We start from the raw sequence: 16,547 nt of genomic DNA, 5'->3' as shown, positions 1-16,547 counted from the left end.
ATGCTATTTAAAAATGTTGATGTCATAAGATACAAAGAAAGACCAAGGAACTGTTCTAAGTTAAAGAACACTAAACGTACATGGCAACTGAATACAATACATGATTCGGGGTTTTTTGTGCTAAAAAGGATGTTCTTGGGATAATTGGTGACATTTAAAGCAGGTTTGCTGATTACCTGGGACATTTTTAGATGGATGGATAGGTAGATAGGTAGGTATTATAGATAGACTGATAGAGGAAATGATAAAGCAAATATGAAAAATATTAACATTTCAGGAATATGTGTACAGGGTACATGGGGGTATTTGTACTACTCTTGAAGATTTTCTGTAAACCTGAAATTATGTCAAAACAAGAAGCTAAAAATGAAAAATGTCCTGGTTGGGAAGACACATATGGTTGCTCAACCCATAGGGGAAGAGCTGGCAGAATATGATGGCTGTGACCTCTGCACGGTACTGAAGATATGGGCAACATGTTGAGCAAGGGCTGCTGTTATATTGAGAAGTGAGCTTTAGAATTGTTCAGCAAGTTTCTTCTTGTTCAGACCAGTATAGGCTTTCCTGGTAAGCTACTGTGCAATGTATTTGTTAATTATTAGCTCAGAGAGAGATTCAGCAAGTGGGCTTACATCTGTTCCCATGAAACACCATGAACTTCACACTCTCTGGGGAGGTCTAGGACTCAGAAATATAGATGTTAGTAAGAGCAAACAGACATAACAGATAACACATACAAAGTGCCTACCACATGCTAACCACTGCTGCAGGCACTTTCTATAGAAGAACTAATTTAATCATCACCATAACCCTATGGGGTAGATGATATTTTTACAACCTCCATTTTACAGATGAAGAAACTGAAGCATAGACCTGGTGAGTAACTCACCCAAGTATTAGTATGGAGGGGAGCTGGGATTGAAACACCAGTTATGGTCATTCCAGAGGATGAATGCTCTCTTCACCACTCTCCTCTTCTGCTTCCTGAGGGGCTCTGAGCAATGAAACTCTTCTTTCCAGATTGTGCTTATAAAGCAAACGAGGTGTCCAGGATTAGACCTCTAGAAGAGTCTGAGCTGTTGTACCCCATACTGGGGCAAAGTAAGTTGTTTGTGCTGAGTGGGGAGTGGAGCCAAAGCTCAGAGGAGGCATCGGAAGGTAGGAGCAGATATGCGGAGCAGACTAGCAGAACAGTCGCATGGCCAGAAGAAAGCTGGAGGGTTGGGCCGAGGTTGGGTCACTAGATAGCAGAGTGAGAGGAAGCAATGCCCAGCCTAGTGGGTGGCTGATCAAGGCAGAAACTGGGGGGTCAGTGTAAGAACAGGCTGGGCTTCAGAGCCAGAACTCATACACAAAATATTCTGGATTTATTCCTTGGGAAGGCTGTGTTCCAGTGTGTCTGATAAGGCCTTGGCCTCATCTTTCTGGTGGCACTCACCTTTCCCAAAAAGTAGCTAAGCCTAATCTTTGTCACTAAGGAAGTGGGGAACAAACACTGGCCGACACCTGCATCCCAGGCTGTGTGCTAGGTATTTAACATGTATTATCTTACTTAATGCAATGTTTTGAATAAGTGTACCTGAGCCAAACTGCCTACTGTGCACATATATATTAGGTTGGTGCGAAAGTAATTGCTGTTTTTGCTACTAAAAGTAATGGCAATTACTTTTGCACCAACCTAACAGAAGGAGTGACTATTCAAAGTGTGCACTCAACTTTCAGTTCAGTGAAATTTGGATTGTTTATTGGAGCTTGATGCAATTGTAATTAAATAGAATAATATAATTAGATAATTTTCACTGTAAGTGCAATACAAATATAGGTACTCAAAACACCACAGGTAGTAGAAAAAGCAGGCATGCTCTCATCGAACCAACATGGCAATTTTTGCGTACAACAGGAAGCATCAAACTCAATGAACTATGGAGGCCAGCTCAGGCACAATTATAGACATAATTTCTTAATCATCGTAACTATCTGAAGAAGGCAATCATATAATTTCAGCCTTTTGTGGTTATTGTAGGATTTAATTCAGTAAAGCATATAAAGCATGTGGCTCAGTGCCAGCCACAAGGGAGGCCCTGAATGCATGGCACCTGCTCTGCTCATTTTCTCAAGAGAGAAATGAAGCTTAGTGAATGTAAGTAATATGTCGAAAGCCACAGAAATAACAAATGGCAGAGAGAGGATTTGAATTCAGGTCGCTAGACTTTGTCCTCCATTTTTGTGCAGCTTTCAAACTAAGAATAACTTTTACATATTTTACTGGTTAGAAAATATTTTTTAAAAAAGAAATATATGCCCAGGCACATGAAAATTATATGAAATTCAAATATCTGTGCCATAAAAGAAGTTTTAGTTACACAGCCATGCCTGTTTGCTCATGGCTGCTTTCATGTTACAATGCCAGAGTTGGGTAGTTGACACAGAGATCATAGGACCTGCAAAGCCTAAAATATTTAATATCTGGGCCTTTACAGAGAAATTTGGTTGACCCCTGTCCTAGACCTTAGACCCCTGCTCTTTCCATTATTCTCAAGTGCCGGTGGATCCAGATCGGTTGTGACATTGCTTAATCTCCTGGCATTCTTGGGGAATTATTAAACTGCCATGTAGGTTGCATAAATGCTCCCTGCTGGCTTGAATAGGAGAGTTTTGAAGGTGCCAGATGGGAACAGATTCCTTTCTTTCATCTTAACAAAAATCCAATCTCACTCTCTTTCATGTTCAAGAGCATTTGATTAATTAGGACAGGAAGTAGGGGGGCGGTGGGGAGAACAATCCGAGCTGTTGAGCTGGACTGAGCTGGCAGTTTCAGGTGCTCTCATTTCAGCTTCTCCTCCCCATGTCTAGCAGGCTCCCTGAACTCCCAGCTGAGTGTAATCAGAGGCTGTGTAATTGGAGGGTGAATGCACAGGCTTTATATTCAGAGACCTGTATTTGTACTGTGATTCCCTACTTGCTAGTTGTATGGTTTTGCACAAGTTATTTAACCTCCTTCGGTCTCAGTTTCTGCAGGTCTAACATGGGCATAATGAGAATACCTATGGCTTTGAGTAATTTGGAGGATTAAAAGCAAACATATATGAAAAGATTTTTTTCCCTAAAGAGGTGGCTCAATGAGCATTCAGTAAATACTAGCTATTACTATTATTTTTTTTTTCTGCCTGCTTGTCAGTAGGGAAGGAGCTAAGTTTCTGATCCTAGTTTAAAAGCCCTTAAAGGTGTTTTTAGGACATTTAAAAAAAGTAATACCTGCACATAATACAAAATTCAGGTAGCACAAATAATAAAAATAAGCAGCTCACAAAATGATGTATCCTGGACTGTTCAAGGCAGCAGTATTCATAGTAGCCCTAAACTGGAAATGACCCAAATGCCCACCACTAGTGGAATGAAAAAAGCAACTGTAGTATGTTCACACAGTAGAACACCATTCAATAAGGATAGTAAACTGTCTGCAACTATACGCAGCAATGTTGATGAATCTCCTGAATCTAATGCTGAGCAAAAGAAGTCAGAAACAAAAGCACACATACTGTAAGGTTCTATTTATGTAAAGAATTAAATCATTCTACGTATTTGCTACTTTGTATCCTTGACCTAAATCTCTGCATTCCTCCCTCCCACCCTGACTGACTCTGGTAACCACTGTTTCATGTATTTGTAATGAACAATCCCCAAACAACAAATGTTGGTGAGGATGAGGAGGAATTGAAACCTTTGTACACTGCTGGTGGGAATATAAAACTGTAGTTGCTTAGAATGCTAACCACAGTGTTACCATATGACCCAGCAATTCTGCTTCTAGTTACATACCCAAGAGAAAAAACTGTCCACACAGAAAGTTGTACATGAATGTTTATAGCAGCATTTTATTCCTAAGAGCCAAAAGGTAAAAACCACTGAAATAATCATCAACTGATGAACGGATAAACAAAATGTGCTATATCCATATGATAGAATATTATTTAGCCATAAAAAATGAAATATGGATACGTGCTACAACAAAAATGAACCTTGAAAGTGTTAAGTGAAATAAACCAGTCACAAAAGATAATATATTACATGATTCCATTTATATGAAATGTGGAGAACTGGCAATTTCATAGACATAGGAAGTAGATTGGCAGTTGGCTAGGGTTACGGAGGATGTGAGGTGGGAGTTATAGCTAAAAGGTATTTGCCTTCTTTTTGAGGTGATGAAAATATTTTAAAATTGACTTTGGTGATGGTTATACATATCTGTGAATATATTAAAAGCCACTCAGTTTTATACTTTTAATGGGTGAACTGTATTGTTATGTGAATATTTTAATAAAGCTGTTCATAAAAAGAAAAAATAAAATATAAAATTAGGTGAAGCCTGTCTGGGCCTCAGGGCTTACTCTTGGTGGGGGGAAGAGGTGGTACTGGGAATTGGTAGGAGGGGGCATAGAGGCAGATGGTAACATTTCTTGATTTGGGTGCTAGTTACACTGGTATCTTCTGTTTGTGAAAATTCATCAGCTGATACTTGCGTGCACCGGATTGAACTTCATACTTCAATAAAAATAATAAAAACTAAAATTAAGAAAGGCACCCTTCTCCAACCATTGTTAGTCACTCAGTTCTTTTTTCAGAAGCAACCACTCTTACATCAAACAGAGTCTAGAGACAGGCTATTCAGAGACTGAGGTACAAGAACATGTGTTCTTGTGTATATTGTATTTCTTGTCTTATTTTTATTTCCCGAGAGCAAGTTTTGATAAACCTAGTCCTGTGTCCAGTTGACCACCTACTACAAAGGGGGTGTAGACCTCAGAAAAGGACAGGGGGAGAAGAGGAGATGGGTGGAAGTTCTGATCCTAGGTGACCTTCTTGGACATGGCAAGGTTTCAACAAATGTTCATGAAACTGTCAAAGTTTTATGAATTTAAGGGCTTCAAAATGTCCAGGTTTTCTTCTAGTGCTGGTCTGACATCCAGATTAAGTCTCTCATGTCTATTTTGTGTTTGAAACTCCAGGAATCCCTTTGGGCTGCCCTGATCCCCAAAGCCTTCTATTATTTTTTCTTTCTTTTTAAAATTCATTTAGAATTTTTTATTTATGTTTAACTTATTTTTATTTTTGTAGAGACAGGGTCTCGCCATGTTGCCCTGGCTGGTCTTGGACTCCTGGCTTCAAGCAATCCTCCTTCCCCAGCCTCCCAAAGTGCTCGGATTGCAGGTTTCCTTCTTTGTTTTTTTGGACAGGGGCGTCTCTTTATGTTGCTCACATTGTAGTGCAGTGGCTGTTCACTGGCATAATCCCACTGCTGATCAGCATGGGAATTTTGACTTGCTCTGTTTCCAACTTGGGCTGGTTCATGCTTCCTTAGGCAATCTAGTGGTCACCTGCTCCTGGGATAGGGGTAACCATACTGATGCCAAACTTAGTACAAACATCCGATCCACATAGCGCACTATGAGCTCCTGGGCTCAAGTGATACTCCCACCTCAGCCTCCTGAATAGCTGGGACTACAGGCGTGCACCACCACACCTGGCTGGTCTTCTGTTCTTGATGAGCACTCACCTGGGTTTGTAATTCAGAATAGCATTCAACTTCTTGGTGAAAGTATTTTCCTCATTTCAAAGTTGTGACATGATGGGATATTTGAATCTAGGACCACCATAAAACACTGGGGAAGACAGTCTCGTATTTCTGGGCTTTTATTCCTCCTGATCTTTCTACTTTTGGCAGCATCAGCATCTCCAAATGTTAGTCATCCTCTAAGGCCCAATACAAGCTCCACCCACTCTGTGAAGTCCCCATCGTGTTGCCCTGGAGGACCCTGATTTTTGCCACTTCCTGTAGTGCTTCTTTAAACACTCATCAATTACTATTGATTGCTGACTATTTGGTTTCAGACACAATGCTATGTGCTGAGAATGCAAGGAAGGAAACTCCATTCCTATCTTCAAATTGCTCACATTCTAGTGTTTCAGGGAGTTGGGAAATAATTAAAATACAGTGTTGCACGATATTTGTCCAAAAGAGGGATGATTGGCAAAATCTTCTGGGAAGGAAGCAAGCGGACTAGGCAGGCTTCACAGAGTGCCTGTTCAGCTTTGTGTCTTGAGGAATGAGTAGTGCTTTGCTGGAGAGATCAGGTGAGAGAAGGGCATCCAGGTAGAGAGAGCAGTGTGTGCAAAGGCATGAAGTAAGGACCACAGGTTGTCATTTACTTATCATTTAATATGTCATTGAGTTTACTAGTCTTTCCAACTAGATTGTGAGAGACTCGTGGAGAATATTCCTAATTCAGGCTTCTCATTCCCCTTCCCCCAAACATCTAGTAAAATTCTGGACACTCATAATTGTGGCAGGCCAGGTGTCACTGACAACTCTTTCAGTACTGACTGAGTGGTTAAGTTAAATATTAAAAGCCAGTGCCCCTGTACGAAGGCTGGAATGTAACAAAAGCCCATCAAGAGTTTTACCTAGGCCTTTCCTGGGACTTAAGGCATGACAAAATAACAAAGGAATTCTTAACAGGACCCATTTAGGATTAAACAAGTTTCACTGGGGGTCTAAGGAAACTCCTTAGGCCTCCACAAACAAGTTTATTGGAGGTCTGAAGGAACTCCCAAAACCTCTGTAATTTAGCAGGAGACAAGATAAGGGTAATCCCCCCAGCACCTGGACCCATTTAGATTAAGTAAATTTACTGAGGCTCCAGAGGAAGGTATTTAGGACTCAGACCTTGGTTATAGATTAAAAGAAGTTAACCATTTACATCTTTAGATGAATGCATACCTTACACGTAGACATATAGTTTGGAAGGTATATAAGCTCTGGAAAACTTTGTAATTTTAAGTTGGTCTGGCAATAATTTCCAGGCCTTCTCCCCGTCACCGGTTGCAGAAAATAAAACTCTCTTCCGAAGTTTCCACAGGACTACCGGCTGGCCCAGCAGGTGTGCCATGCCATCGCCAACATCTCTGACAGTAGAAAGACTTCTCTGGGCAAACGTCACCCCCACTTCCAGTTGCCTCAGGAACACAAGTTGTTTGAGTGACTGCGGGAGACGGTCCCGAAAGGCTTTGTCCACCAGACCCACTCTGGATCCCATTCAAAGAGGTGGCAGTGACCCTCATTTACCAACTGGCAGAGAGTCCCACAGTGATCTGTGCCCAGATATGGCAGGGCTGTGCAAAACAGGCCCTGGAGAAGCTAGAAGAGAAGAGAACCAGTCAGGGGGACCCGAAGGAGTCTCCCACAATGCTCCCCACTTTCCTGTTGATGAACCTCTTGTCCCTGGCTGGGGATGTGGCTCTGCAGCAGCTGGTCCACTTGGAGCAGGCAGTGAGTGGAGAGCTCTGTCAGCGCCGAGTTCTCCGGGAAGAACAGGAGCACAAGACCAAAGATCCCAAGGAGAAGAATACAAGTTTCGAGACCACTATGGAGGAGGAGCTGGGGCTGGTTGGGGCAGCAGATGACACGGAGGCAGAACTAATCCGCGGCTTCTGCAAGATGGAACTGTTGGATGGCAAACAGACACTGGCTGCCTTTGTTCCACTCTTGCTTAAAGTCTACAACAACTCAGGCCTCTATAGCAACCCAGACCTCTCTGCAGCTGCTTCACCTACCCTTGGCAAGTTCTGCATGATCAGTACCACTTTCTGCAACTCCCAGCCTCATCTTCTGTTCACCATGCTAGAAAAGTCTCCACTTCCCATTGTCCGGTCTAATCTCATCGTTGCCACTGGGGATCTGGCCATCCACTTTCCCAATCTGGTGGACCCCTGGACTCCTCATCTATATGCTCACCTTCAGGACCCTGCTCAGCCAGTGTGGAAAACAGTGGGGCTGGTGATGACTCCACCTGATCCTCAAGGACATGGTGAAGGTAAAGGGGCAGGTGAGTGAGATGGCCATGCTGCTCATCAACCCTGAGTCTCAAATTGCTGCCCTGGCCAAGAAGTTCTTCAATGAGCTCTTCCACAAGGGCAATGCAATCTATAGTCTCCTTCCAGATATCATCAGCCACCTGTCAGACCCCGAGCTGGGGGTGGAGGAAGTGCCTTTTCACACCATTATGAAGCAGTTCTTCTCCTACATCATCACCAAAGACAAGCAGACAAAGCCTGGTGGAAAAGCTGTGTCAGCGGTTCCACACAGCCTAAACTGAGCAGGTGCAGCAGGACCTGGCCTACTGTGTGTCACAGCTGCCCCTCACAGAGCAAGGCCCTTGCAAGATGCTTGGCAATTTTGACTGTTTTGGAGATAAACTGTCAGATGAGTCCATCTTCAGTTCTTTTTTGTCAGTTATGGGCAAGCTACAACATGGGGCCAAGCCTGAGGGCAAGGCTATAATAGATGAATTTGAGCAAAAGCTTCAGGCCTGTCATGCCAGAGGTTTGGATGGGATTGAGGAGCTTGAGATTAACCAAGCAGGTAGCCAGAGAGCCCCAACAGCCAAGAAACCATCCACTGTTTGTAGGCACCAGCCTCTGGCTTCTGCAGCCTCAGACAATGACTTCGTCACACCAGAGCCCCGTCGTACTACCCATCGGCATCCGAACACCCAGCAGCGAGCTTCCGAAAAGAAACCAAAAGTTGTCTTCTCAAGTGATGAGTCAAGTGAGGAAGATTTTTTAGCCTAGATGACAGAAGACAGGACACCCAAGAAAATAACCCCCATTCTCAGAGCATCAGCTCGCAGGCACAGATCCTGAGAAGTCATCTTGCCTGTTCCTTTCCTCCCTGTGCAGGGTAACTTGTAGGGTGACCTAGAATTCTAATTCTGTTCCCCTTGTAGAATATTTGCCTGTCTCCTTTTTTGAAAAAAAAAAAAAATACATACACGATCTTTAAAATGCAAGGCCTTTCTCTTAAATTAGCCTAACTGAACTGCATTGAGCTGCTTTCACTTTGGAATATATGTTTGCCAGTCTCCTTGTTTTCTAATGAATAAATGTTTTTATATACTTAAAAAAAAAACTCTCTTCCTCCCCAGTTCATCTGCATCTCATTATTGGGCTACAAGAAACAGCAGCCCGACCCTATTTGGTCCAGGAACAATATTGGATAGAAATAAAAGACTAAGGGCAAACACAGAAAGAGTCATCTTAAAAGATTTAATTAAGTGCCTGAATTTAAAACATTCAACAGATCCCCATTCTTAGAATGGAAATTTCTCATCAGCCTTGGAATATGACGGAAACCTTCTAAGGATACGAAATTGAACTTTAATTGTGTCAGTTATTACAATAATCAGGGCCAAGCTGTGATTGGCAACTTGTCTCCCTTGTACTTTCTGCCCTTACTCAACAACCCCCTCTTGGGCCCCCAGGGCTTGCCTCTTAGGAAGATGTGAATTATTTTGAGTGTAATTGGGCTTGGCCTATGATATAGTCATTATCTGAATCCATTGTTTGCCAGGTAATTGCTTTGTGACTTTGGGCAACTTACTTAGATATCTTGGGTCTTAGTTTCTACCTTATAAAATTAGGGTGGGTATACTTACTTTGTGAAGATTAAATGTCCCACGTGTTTGGAACATTATAGGCTCCCAATAATGAACATCTTCCTTTACCTCTCCTCACTTCCCCTTTCTACCCCCTTCCCTTTATCCTTGAAAGATTTAGAAAGAGATTTTTAGGAAAAGGGATAAGGAGCTAGAGAATCAAGAGAAATGTTAAGACATTTTGCTGTGTACTGTGTTTCATGCCTTTTTCCACACATTCCCCCATTCCCAGGCATTAAGACTGAGGTTGAAGGTTTGGGGTACAACATCAAACTGAGAGTGGCCACACAGAGGCTCAGCTTTGTTTGGGTCATGAACATTGCAGAGGGAGAATCAGGTATTATTTATTTGGGAGAAGAGACCATTCAGGGGGCATGGCGCCTGTCACACACTCTTTCAAGGGCTGTCACCTGGGAGAAGCATTAGACTTTGGACTAATTCAAGGCTGGGCTCAGGGTCTTTTCTCAGTAATATCTTAGAGTTTCCAAGTAGCTTGCCTTAGAAGGAGGTGATTATCCCATCACTAGAGGTTGTTAAGTAAAGATCCTCAGTTCCATTGGTCACAGATTCAGGTACTGGGGGGAAGATGAATGCAATGGCCTATGCTATGCCTCCCAGACATAAGTGTCTAGGATTCTATTGTGATTGACAAATATGCCCCCTTCCGCCAATCCCACTCCCAGGCAGGATATTTCCCCCACTCCAGCAAAGCCTCTTCCACCTGCTCCCCCAGCACCTCACGCACACAAACTGAAAGAGTTCTCAGTTGTAAACAAATCAAACTGGTGAACTCATTCTCCAGGGCTAGTGACTGAAGCCACTTACTCTCTCAACAGCATTTTAATAGGGACATCAAACCTTGGCCCAGGAGTGACTCAGTAATGTAGGAATTCCCGGTTGTATGGCATGCAGAGAGGAACAGAATGGGCTGGCAGCTTGCCCAAGGTCACACAGCCCAGAGTAAATAAAACCCAGCTGCCACCACCCCTAGTCTCATGCTCTGGCCCCGTCCTGAGGCTGCTTTCTGTCTGGTCACCCTGGGGACTTCCTGCCCCAATCCCAAGCTGTGCTGGTGACTGTGGCATGGCCTGAGTGTGAAGTGGCTGTGATGGTGAGACCTGAAATAGTCCTCCCTTGCCGCCAGACGCTGGCATGAAGAATAGCAGCTTCACAGAGGTTTGATCAATAGATATTATGCGAATGCTTAGAGCAATAACATTCCTCTCCATTACCAGGCTAACACTCCCAGTAAAAAGTATGCCTTGATCCTGATGGTTTTATATTTTCTGGTTTGTCAGACTGAGATCAGGGTCTAACTGATGCCTATATGAAAGCATAACAGGTACATGACTGGCAGAGGTCCAACTCCTTTTTCTCTGAATTAGAGGCCCTTTTGCTGTGAGCTGGCAAGAGCTCCAGCTCTGTGCATGTCAATTATGTTCTCTGGCCAAAAGCCTTGCTGCACAGTAAACATGACTGGAGGCACAGTGAGCCTCATTTGTGATACGGTCCCCATATAAAGAAGGCAGAGAGGCAGCAGTGTCCAGATCCCTTCTTTAACTCGTCCCACCCATCACCCCAGGTATAGGGTCCTGGAATCTGAGCATTCATTATATATTTGTTTGTAGTTGTATAATAAAAATAAGATTTGTCGTGTTCTAAAACTGAAGTTAATTGCTAGTAAAAACTCCTACTCTGCTGGATATCAAAAACTTAATTGCAGTCAATTAAGTGTTTACTCTTTGTCCTTGTAGTCATCTTTAAGCTTTAGAAAACTCATGCGGTATCCAGTCACATGCGTGCGTGGGTGCTCGTGCACGTGTGTGTGTGTGTGTATGTGTGTGTGTGTCTAAGATGCCTGGTTCTTGGTATCATCTGTTATCATTGACATCTATTAAGATATCTCTGATTCCACCTTGCACTTAGCTGTCAGCAGATCAAAGTGGTGCCTCCTTGTTCCAAATGCAGGGCCTTCTTGGGCCACGGGCTTTGTCACAAAGGCATGGCTCTTGTTGCACAGAATAAGTACATTCTTCTGATCCCTGCACCAGGCTGCAGGTGCAGAGACCCACAAGTGGCTGTTTCAAGCTCTCTGCCTAGACACTCGCATAGGCATTTCTTCTCACTTTCAATATGCAGAAGAGGGCCCCTGTGCCTTACTCGCTCTCTGGACTGTCTCTTGAGAAAGTGGGTAGGGTGGGTTACAGATGCCCTTGCTTGTGATGTTCTCCAACCTGCAGCTCCTATTTCATGCCCCAAATCCTCTTCAGTGTCTGCCTTAGGGTTAAGGTCTCTCTCTTAGAAATGCCTCTTTTTTTTTTTTTTTTTTGTTTTTTTGGTGGAGTCTTGCTCTGTCGCCAGGCTGGAGTGCAGTGGCGCAGTCTCGGCTCACTGCAACCTCCACCTCCCAGGTTCAAGTGACTCCCCTGCCTCAGTCTCCTGAGTAGCTAGGACTGCAGGTGCGTTCCACCATGCACAGCTAATTTTTGTATTTTTAATAGACACGGGGTTTCACCACGTTGGCCAGAATGGTCTCGATCTCTTGACCTCGTGATCCACCTGCCTCGGCCTCCCAAAGTGCTGGGATTACAGGCAAGAGTCACCGCACCCAGCCAGAAATGCCTCCATGTTTAAGCTCTTGTCTCCTCCTCCCTGCATACTCCTCACTCTTTCCCATTCTTGGATCCAGGTAGCCTGGTTTTCATTTTTCCTTCTAAATCACTTGAAACTCAAGACCAAGAAATAGGCTACTTTGTTTTTCTCATTTCCTAATTAACCTGCATTGTGGCAGTAAAAACCTCATGATACAGTTTTCCAAATAGAGAATTATGTAATGATAGAAATGCTAAGACAGGGATGGGTGGAGGGAGAACACTTGGTTAAGAAGCAAAAATATTACAGCAGGTCTCCCCTTATCTGTGAGGGATATGTTTGAAGAGTTCCAACTGCAGATAGTACTGAACTCTGTATATACCATGTTTTCTTTTATACATACATACATAACTATGATAAAATTTAATTTATAAATCAGGCACATAAAGAAATGAACAACAATAATATACTGATACCATATGATAATGATAAATATATGCTGTAATAAAAGTTATGTGAATATGGGGTCATTCTCTCTCAAAATATCTTACTCTATTGCACTATTAACTGAAACCATGGAAAGTGAAACTATGGATAAGGGAGGACTACTGAATACAGCTAGTTTGATTCTTTCATTGCTTACAATCTTTTTTGATCAGAATTGCAGAGAAAATTAAGCTCCATGGAAAATAATTTGAGCTTTCATTTTCTCAATTTTTCCAAGGTTGGTATTGAGGTAGAAACATTTTGGAGGCACAGGAAAGAAATAACTGATTGTATCGATGGATGCTTTAGTGAAGTGGTTCTGAGTGTGTAGTCTGAGGACCTCTGAGGGTCACTAAGACTCTGAATCCATTAGGCAAAAACTATTTTTATAATTAATACTAAGACTGTATTTGTCTTTTCACTTTCATTTTCTCATGAGTGTACTATGGCTTTTGGAAAACTCAAATGTATAAACATGAACACCTGTGTACACACAGAAATCAGATGTGCAAAGATTGCATATATTGGGAATATCAGATAAACAGTATTACATAATATTTAAAAATAGGCCGGAGATGGTGGCTCACACCTGTAATCCCAGCAATTTGGGAGACCAAGGCAGGAGGACTGTTTGTGACCAGGAGTTTAAGACCAGCCTGGGCAACAGAGTGAGACCCTATCTCCAGAAAAAAAAATTAGCTGGGCTTGGTGGTGCACACCTATAGTTCCAGCTACTTGGGAGGCTGAGATGGGAGGATGGCTTGAGCCTAGGAGTTCAAGTCTGCAGTGAGCTGTGATCATGCCAGTGCACTTCAGCCCTGGTGACAGAGCAAAACTCTATCTCTAAATAAATAAATTAATAGATAATATATTGAAAGAAATTAAGCAGAAAATTGCAAGTTTGATGAAAGAGGAATTCTCTAATTGACTAGATAAATTTAAGAACAAAGTAGAACTTTTAGAAATGAAAAAATAATTGTAATAAAGTTAGAATCTCAATGAATATGTTGATTATAAGGTTGGAACCAATAAAAAGAGAAATAGTAAACTTGATGATTGGACCAAATAAATTACTCAAAAAGCAATAGAAAGAGACAAAGAGATAGACCAAAGAGAAGTGAAGAGGCATAATGAATAGGATGAGAAAGTCCAACAAAAATCCCACTGGAGTTCCAGAAGAAGATAATAAAGAGAATGTGAAAGAGGCACTATGGTAGTGACTAGGAATGTTCTATAATCAGTAAAGGATGCCAATATAGTTGTCCCTTTGTATATATGGGGTTATTGGTTTCCATGGATAGCCTTCCATGGATACCAAAATCCCTGAAATAAAATGATGCTGTGTTTGCATATATTAACCAAGCTTAAATTATCTCTATATTACTTTTAATTCCTAATACAATGTAAGTTCTATATAAATTGTTGTTATACTATATTGTTTAGAAAATTATGACAAGGAGAAAGTGTGAACATGTTCAGTATAGATGCATTTTTTTCTGAATATTTTCAATTCACAATTGGTTGAATTCATAAATGCAGAACCCATGGATACAAAGGGCCAACTGTACTCAGATAATGAAAACATGACAAAGTCCTGGTTTTAAATAATACATACCCTTGTCAAACAATGTCATAGCTTTAGGATGGGGAACTGGTTTTACAGAGATGATGGATGTTGTTTTGAATCACAAACCTGATTGATTATTCATCATGAGCAGAAGGCCTTGGGGATGAGGGATTCCCAATGGGACAACTAGTGTTTCAAACAGGAAGAAGGAATGGGGAGACTTCATCTGAGTCCAAGGGTAACACTAGAAGGAAGTCCAGCCATCTGCATTCATTTTGACAGTTCAATGGACATCTATTGAATCCCTGCTAGGTGCCAGAAAGTCACCCAGCAAAATTGGGGTCCTTCCCATTTCCTCTGCTCTTCCTGCCCCTTTTATCCTGAGGCCCACTGCTACCAGACACAAGGTTAGGCACATGTAGACTTGCTCTCAAAAAAGAAGAAAAAGGAAGCACCTAGAACATAAAAACATAAAATTTTAAAACAACAATAAAATGGTATACCAGACAAATATTAATTAAGAAAAATCCTGTAGTGATATCAATGTAAGATAAAAATCTTTTTAATGCTAAAAGCATTACTAGAGATAAAGAGAGATACTCTATATTGAATACTAGTTAAATTCACCAGGAAGATATAGCAATTCTAAGCCCATTAGAATAAATAAAGTAAGAAAATAATAGAACTATGGGAGAAAAAGATAAATCCACCACCAGAACTTCAGATTTTAGCAAGTTCTCTTATTTATTTAAAGATGGAATACATAATAATAATCAGCAAGGATAGAGCAGATTTTAACTACACAGCAAACAAACTTGACCTAATGTAAACATACAAACTAATACTTCTCAAATCGGCTGAACACATGTATTCAAGGGTACATAGAAGAGTATCAGATTATTATATATTAGACCATATGTCATTTCATCTGATTCAAAAAAACTAAAACATACAGGAAAGTAAGCTAGAAAATGATAACAAAAATATAACTAGACAAGCCTGGTACTTTTGAAAATTAAAAAGCACACTTCTAAGTAACAGTTGCCCAAAAAGAAATCATAATAAAAATTATAGATTTGTTGATCATAATGAGATAGTAATGAAAATAACACATGATCTAATCTTCAACAAAGCTGATACGAGGTTAGGAGTTCAAGACCAGCCTGGCCAAGATGGTTAAACCCCGTCTGTACTAAAAATACAAAAATTAGCCAGGCGTGGTAGTGGGTGCCTGTAATCCCAGCTACTCGGGAGACTGAGACAGAGAATTGCTTGAACCCAGGAGGCGGAGGTTGCAGTGCGCCAAGATCATGCCACTGCACGCCAGCCTGGGTGACAGAGTGAGACTCCATCTACAAAAAAAAAAAAGAAGACAGAGAGAGAGAGAAAACAAGTCATGGGGAAAAGACTCCTGATTCAATAAATAGTGCTGAGATAACTGGCAAGCCATAGGCAGAAGATGGAAGCTGGACCCCTTCCTTACACCACATACAAAAATAAACTCAAGATGGATTAAAGATTTAAATGTAAAACCCAAAACTGTAAAAACCCGGAAGACAACGTAAGTAATACCATCGTGGATACAGGAAGGGACAAAGATTTCATGATAAAGACACCAAAAGGAATCACAACAAAATCAACAATTGACAAGTGGGATCTAATTAAACTTAAGAGTTTCTGCACGCAAAAGAAACTATCAACAGAGTAAAAAGACACCCTACAGAATAGGAGAAAATATTTCAAACTCTCATTTGACAAAGTTTTAATATCTAGCACTTATAAGAAACTTAAACAAATTTACAAGAGAAAAACAACCCCATTAAAAAGTGGGCAAAAGACATGAACAGACACTTTTCAAAAGAAGACACATGCAGCCAACAAGCACATGAAATAAAGCTCAATATCACTGATTATTAGAGAAATACAAATCAAAATCACAGTGAAATACCATCTCACATCCATCAGAATGGCTATTACTAAAAAGTCAAAAAATAACAGATGCTGGTGACGTTGCAGAGAAAAGGGAAGAATTATACACTGTTGGTGGGAGTGTAAACCATTGTGGAATGCAGTATTGCCATTCAAAGAGATGAAAGCAGGGCTACCATTTGACCCAGCATTTCCATTACTGGATATATACCCAGAGAAATATAAATCATTCTACCATAAAGACACATGCATACAAATGTTCATTGCAGTACTATTCACAAGAGCAAAGACATAGAATCAACCTAAATGCCCATCAATGACAGATTGGATGAAGCAAATGTAGTACATATACATCATGGGATACTATGCAATCATAAAAAGAATGAGATCATGTCTTTTGTGGGAACATGGATGAAGCTGGAGGATATTATGCTTAGCAAACTAATGCAGGAACAGAAAACGAAATACCGCATGTTCCCACT

General features: G+C 41.3%; 1 protein-coding gene, 1 long non-coding RNA gene and 2 pseudogenes across 8 annotated transcripts in view; 2 read left to right on the top strand and 2 right to left on the bottom strand.

Annotated features, from left to right (window-relative positions):
- Positions 1 to 16,547, top strand: part of NPSR1-AS1 (NPSR1 antisense RNA 1) — a 487,820-nt gene that overhangs the window by 75,382 nt on the left and 395,891 nt on the right. For 2 of the 3 annotated variants that reach the window (NR_033665.1, NR_033664.1), the window contains exon 1: positions 678 to 876. The exons of the other annotated variant lie outside the window; for it this stretch is intronic. This is a non-coding gene — a long non-coding RNA (NPSR1 antisense RNA 1). Of the gene's footprint in view, positions 1 to 677; positions 877 to 16,547 lie in introns of those variants that run through there. 3 annotated transcript variants of the gene reach the window in all.
- Positions 1 to 16,547, bottom strand: part of NPSR1 (neuropeptide S receptor 1) — a 220,115-nt gene that overhangs the window by 119,383 nt on the left and 84,185 nt on the right. The window lies entirely within an intron of this gene.
- Positions 5,231 to 5,526, bottom strand: RN7SL132P (RNA, 7SL, cytoplasmic 132, pseudogene; annotated as a pseudogene).
- NCAPD2P1 (non-SMC condensin I complex subunit D2 pseudogene 1) lies at positions 6,905 to 8,897 on the top strand (annotated as a pseudogene).

This window comes from Homo sapiens, chromosome 7, assembly GCF_000001405.40.
Source record: "Homo sapiens chromosome 7, GRCh38.p14 Primary Assembly".
In the NCBI taxonomy this organism is placed as follows: domain Eukaryota; kingdom Metazoa; phylum Chordata; class Mammalia; order Primates; family Hominidae; genus Homo; species Homo sapiens.
This window is presented reverse-complemented; position numbering and strand designations above follow the sequence as displayed.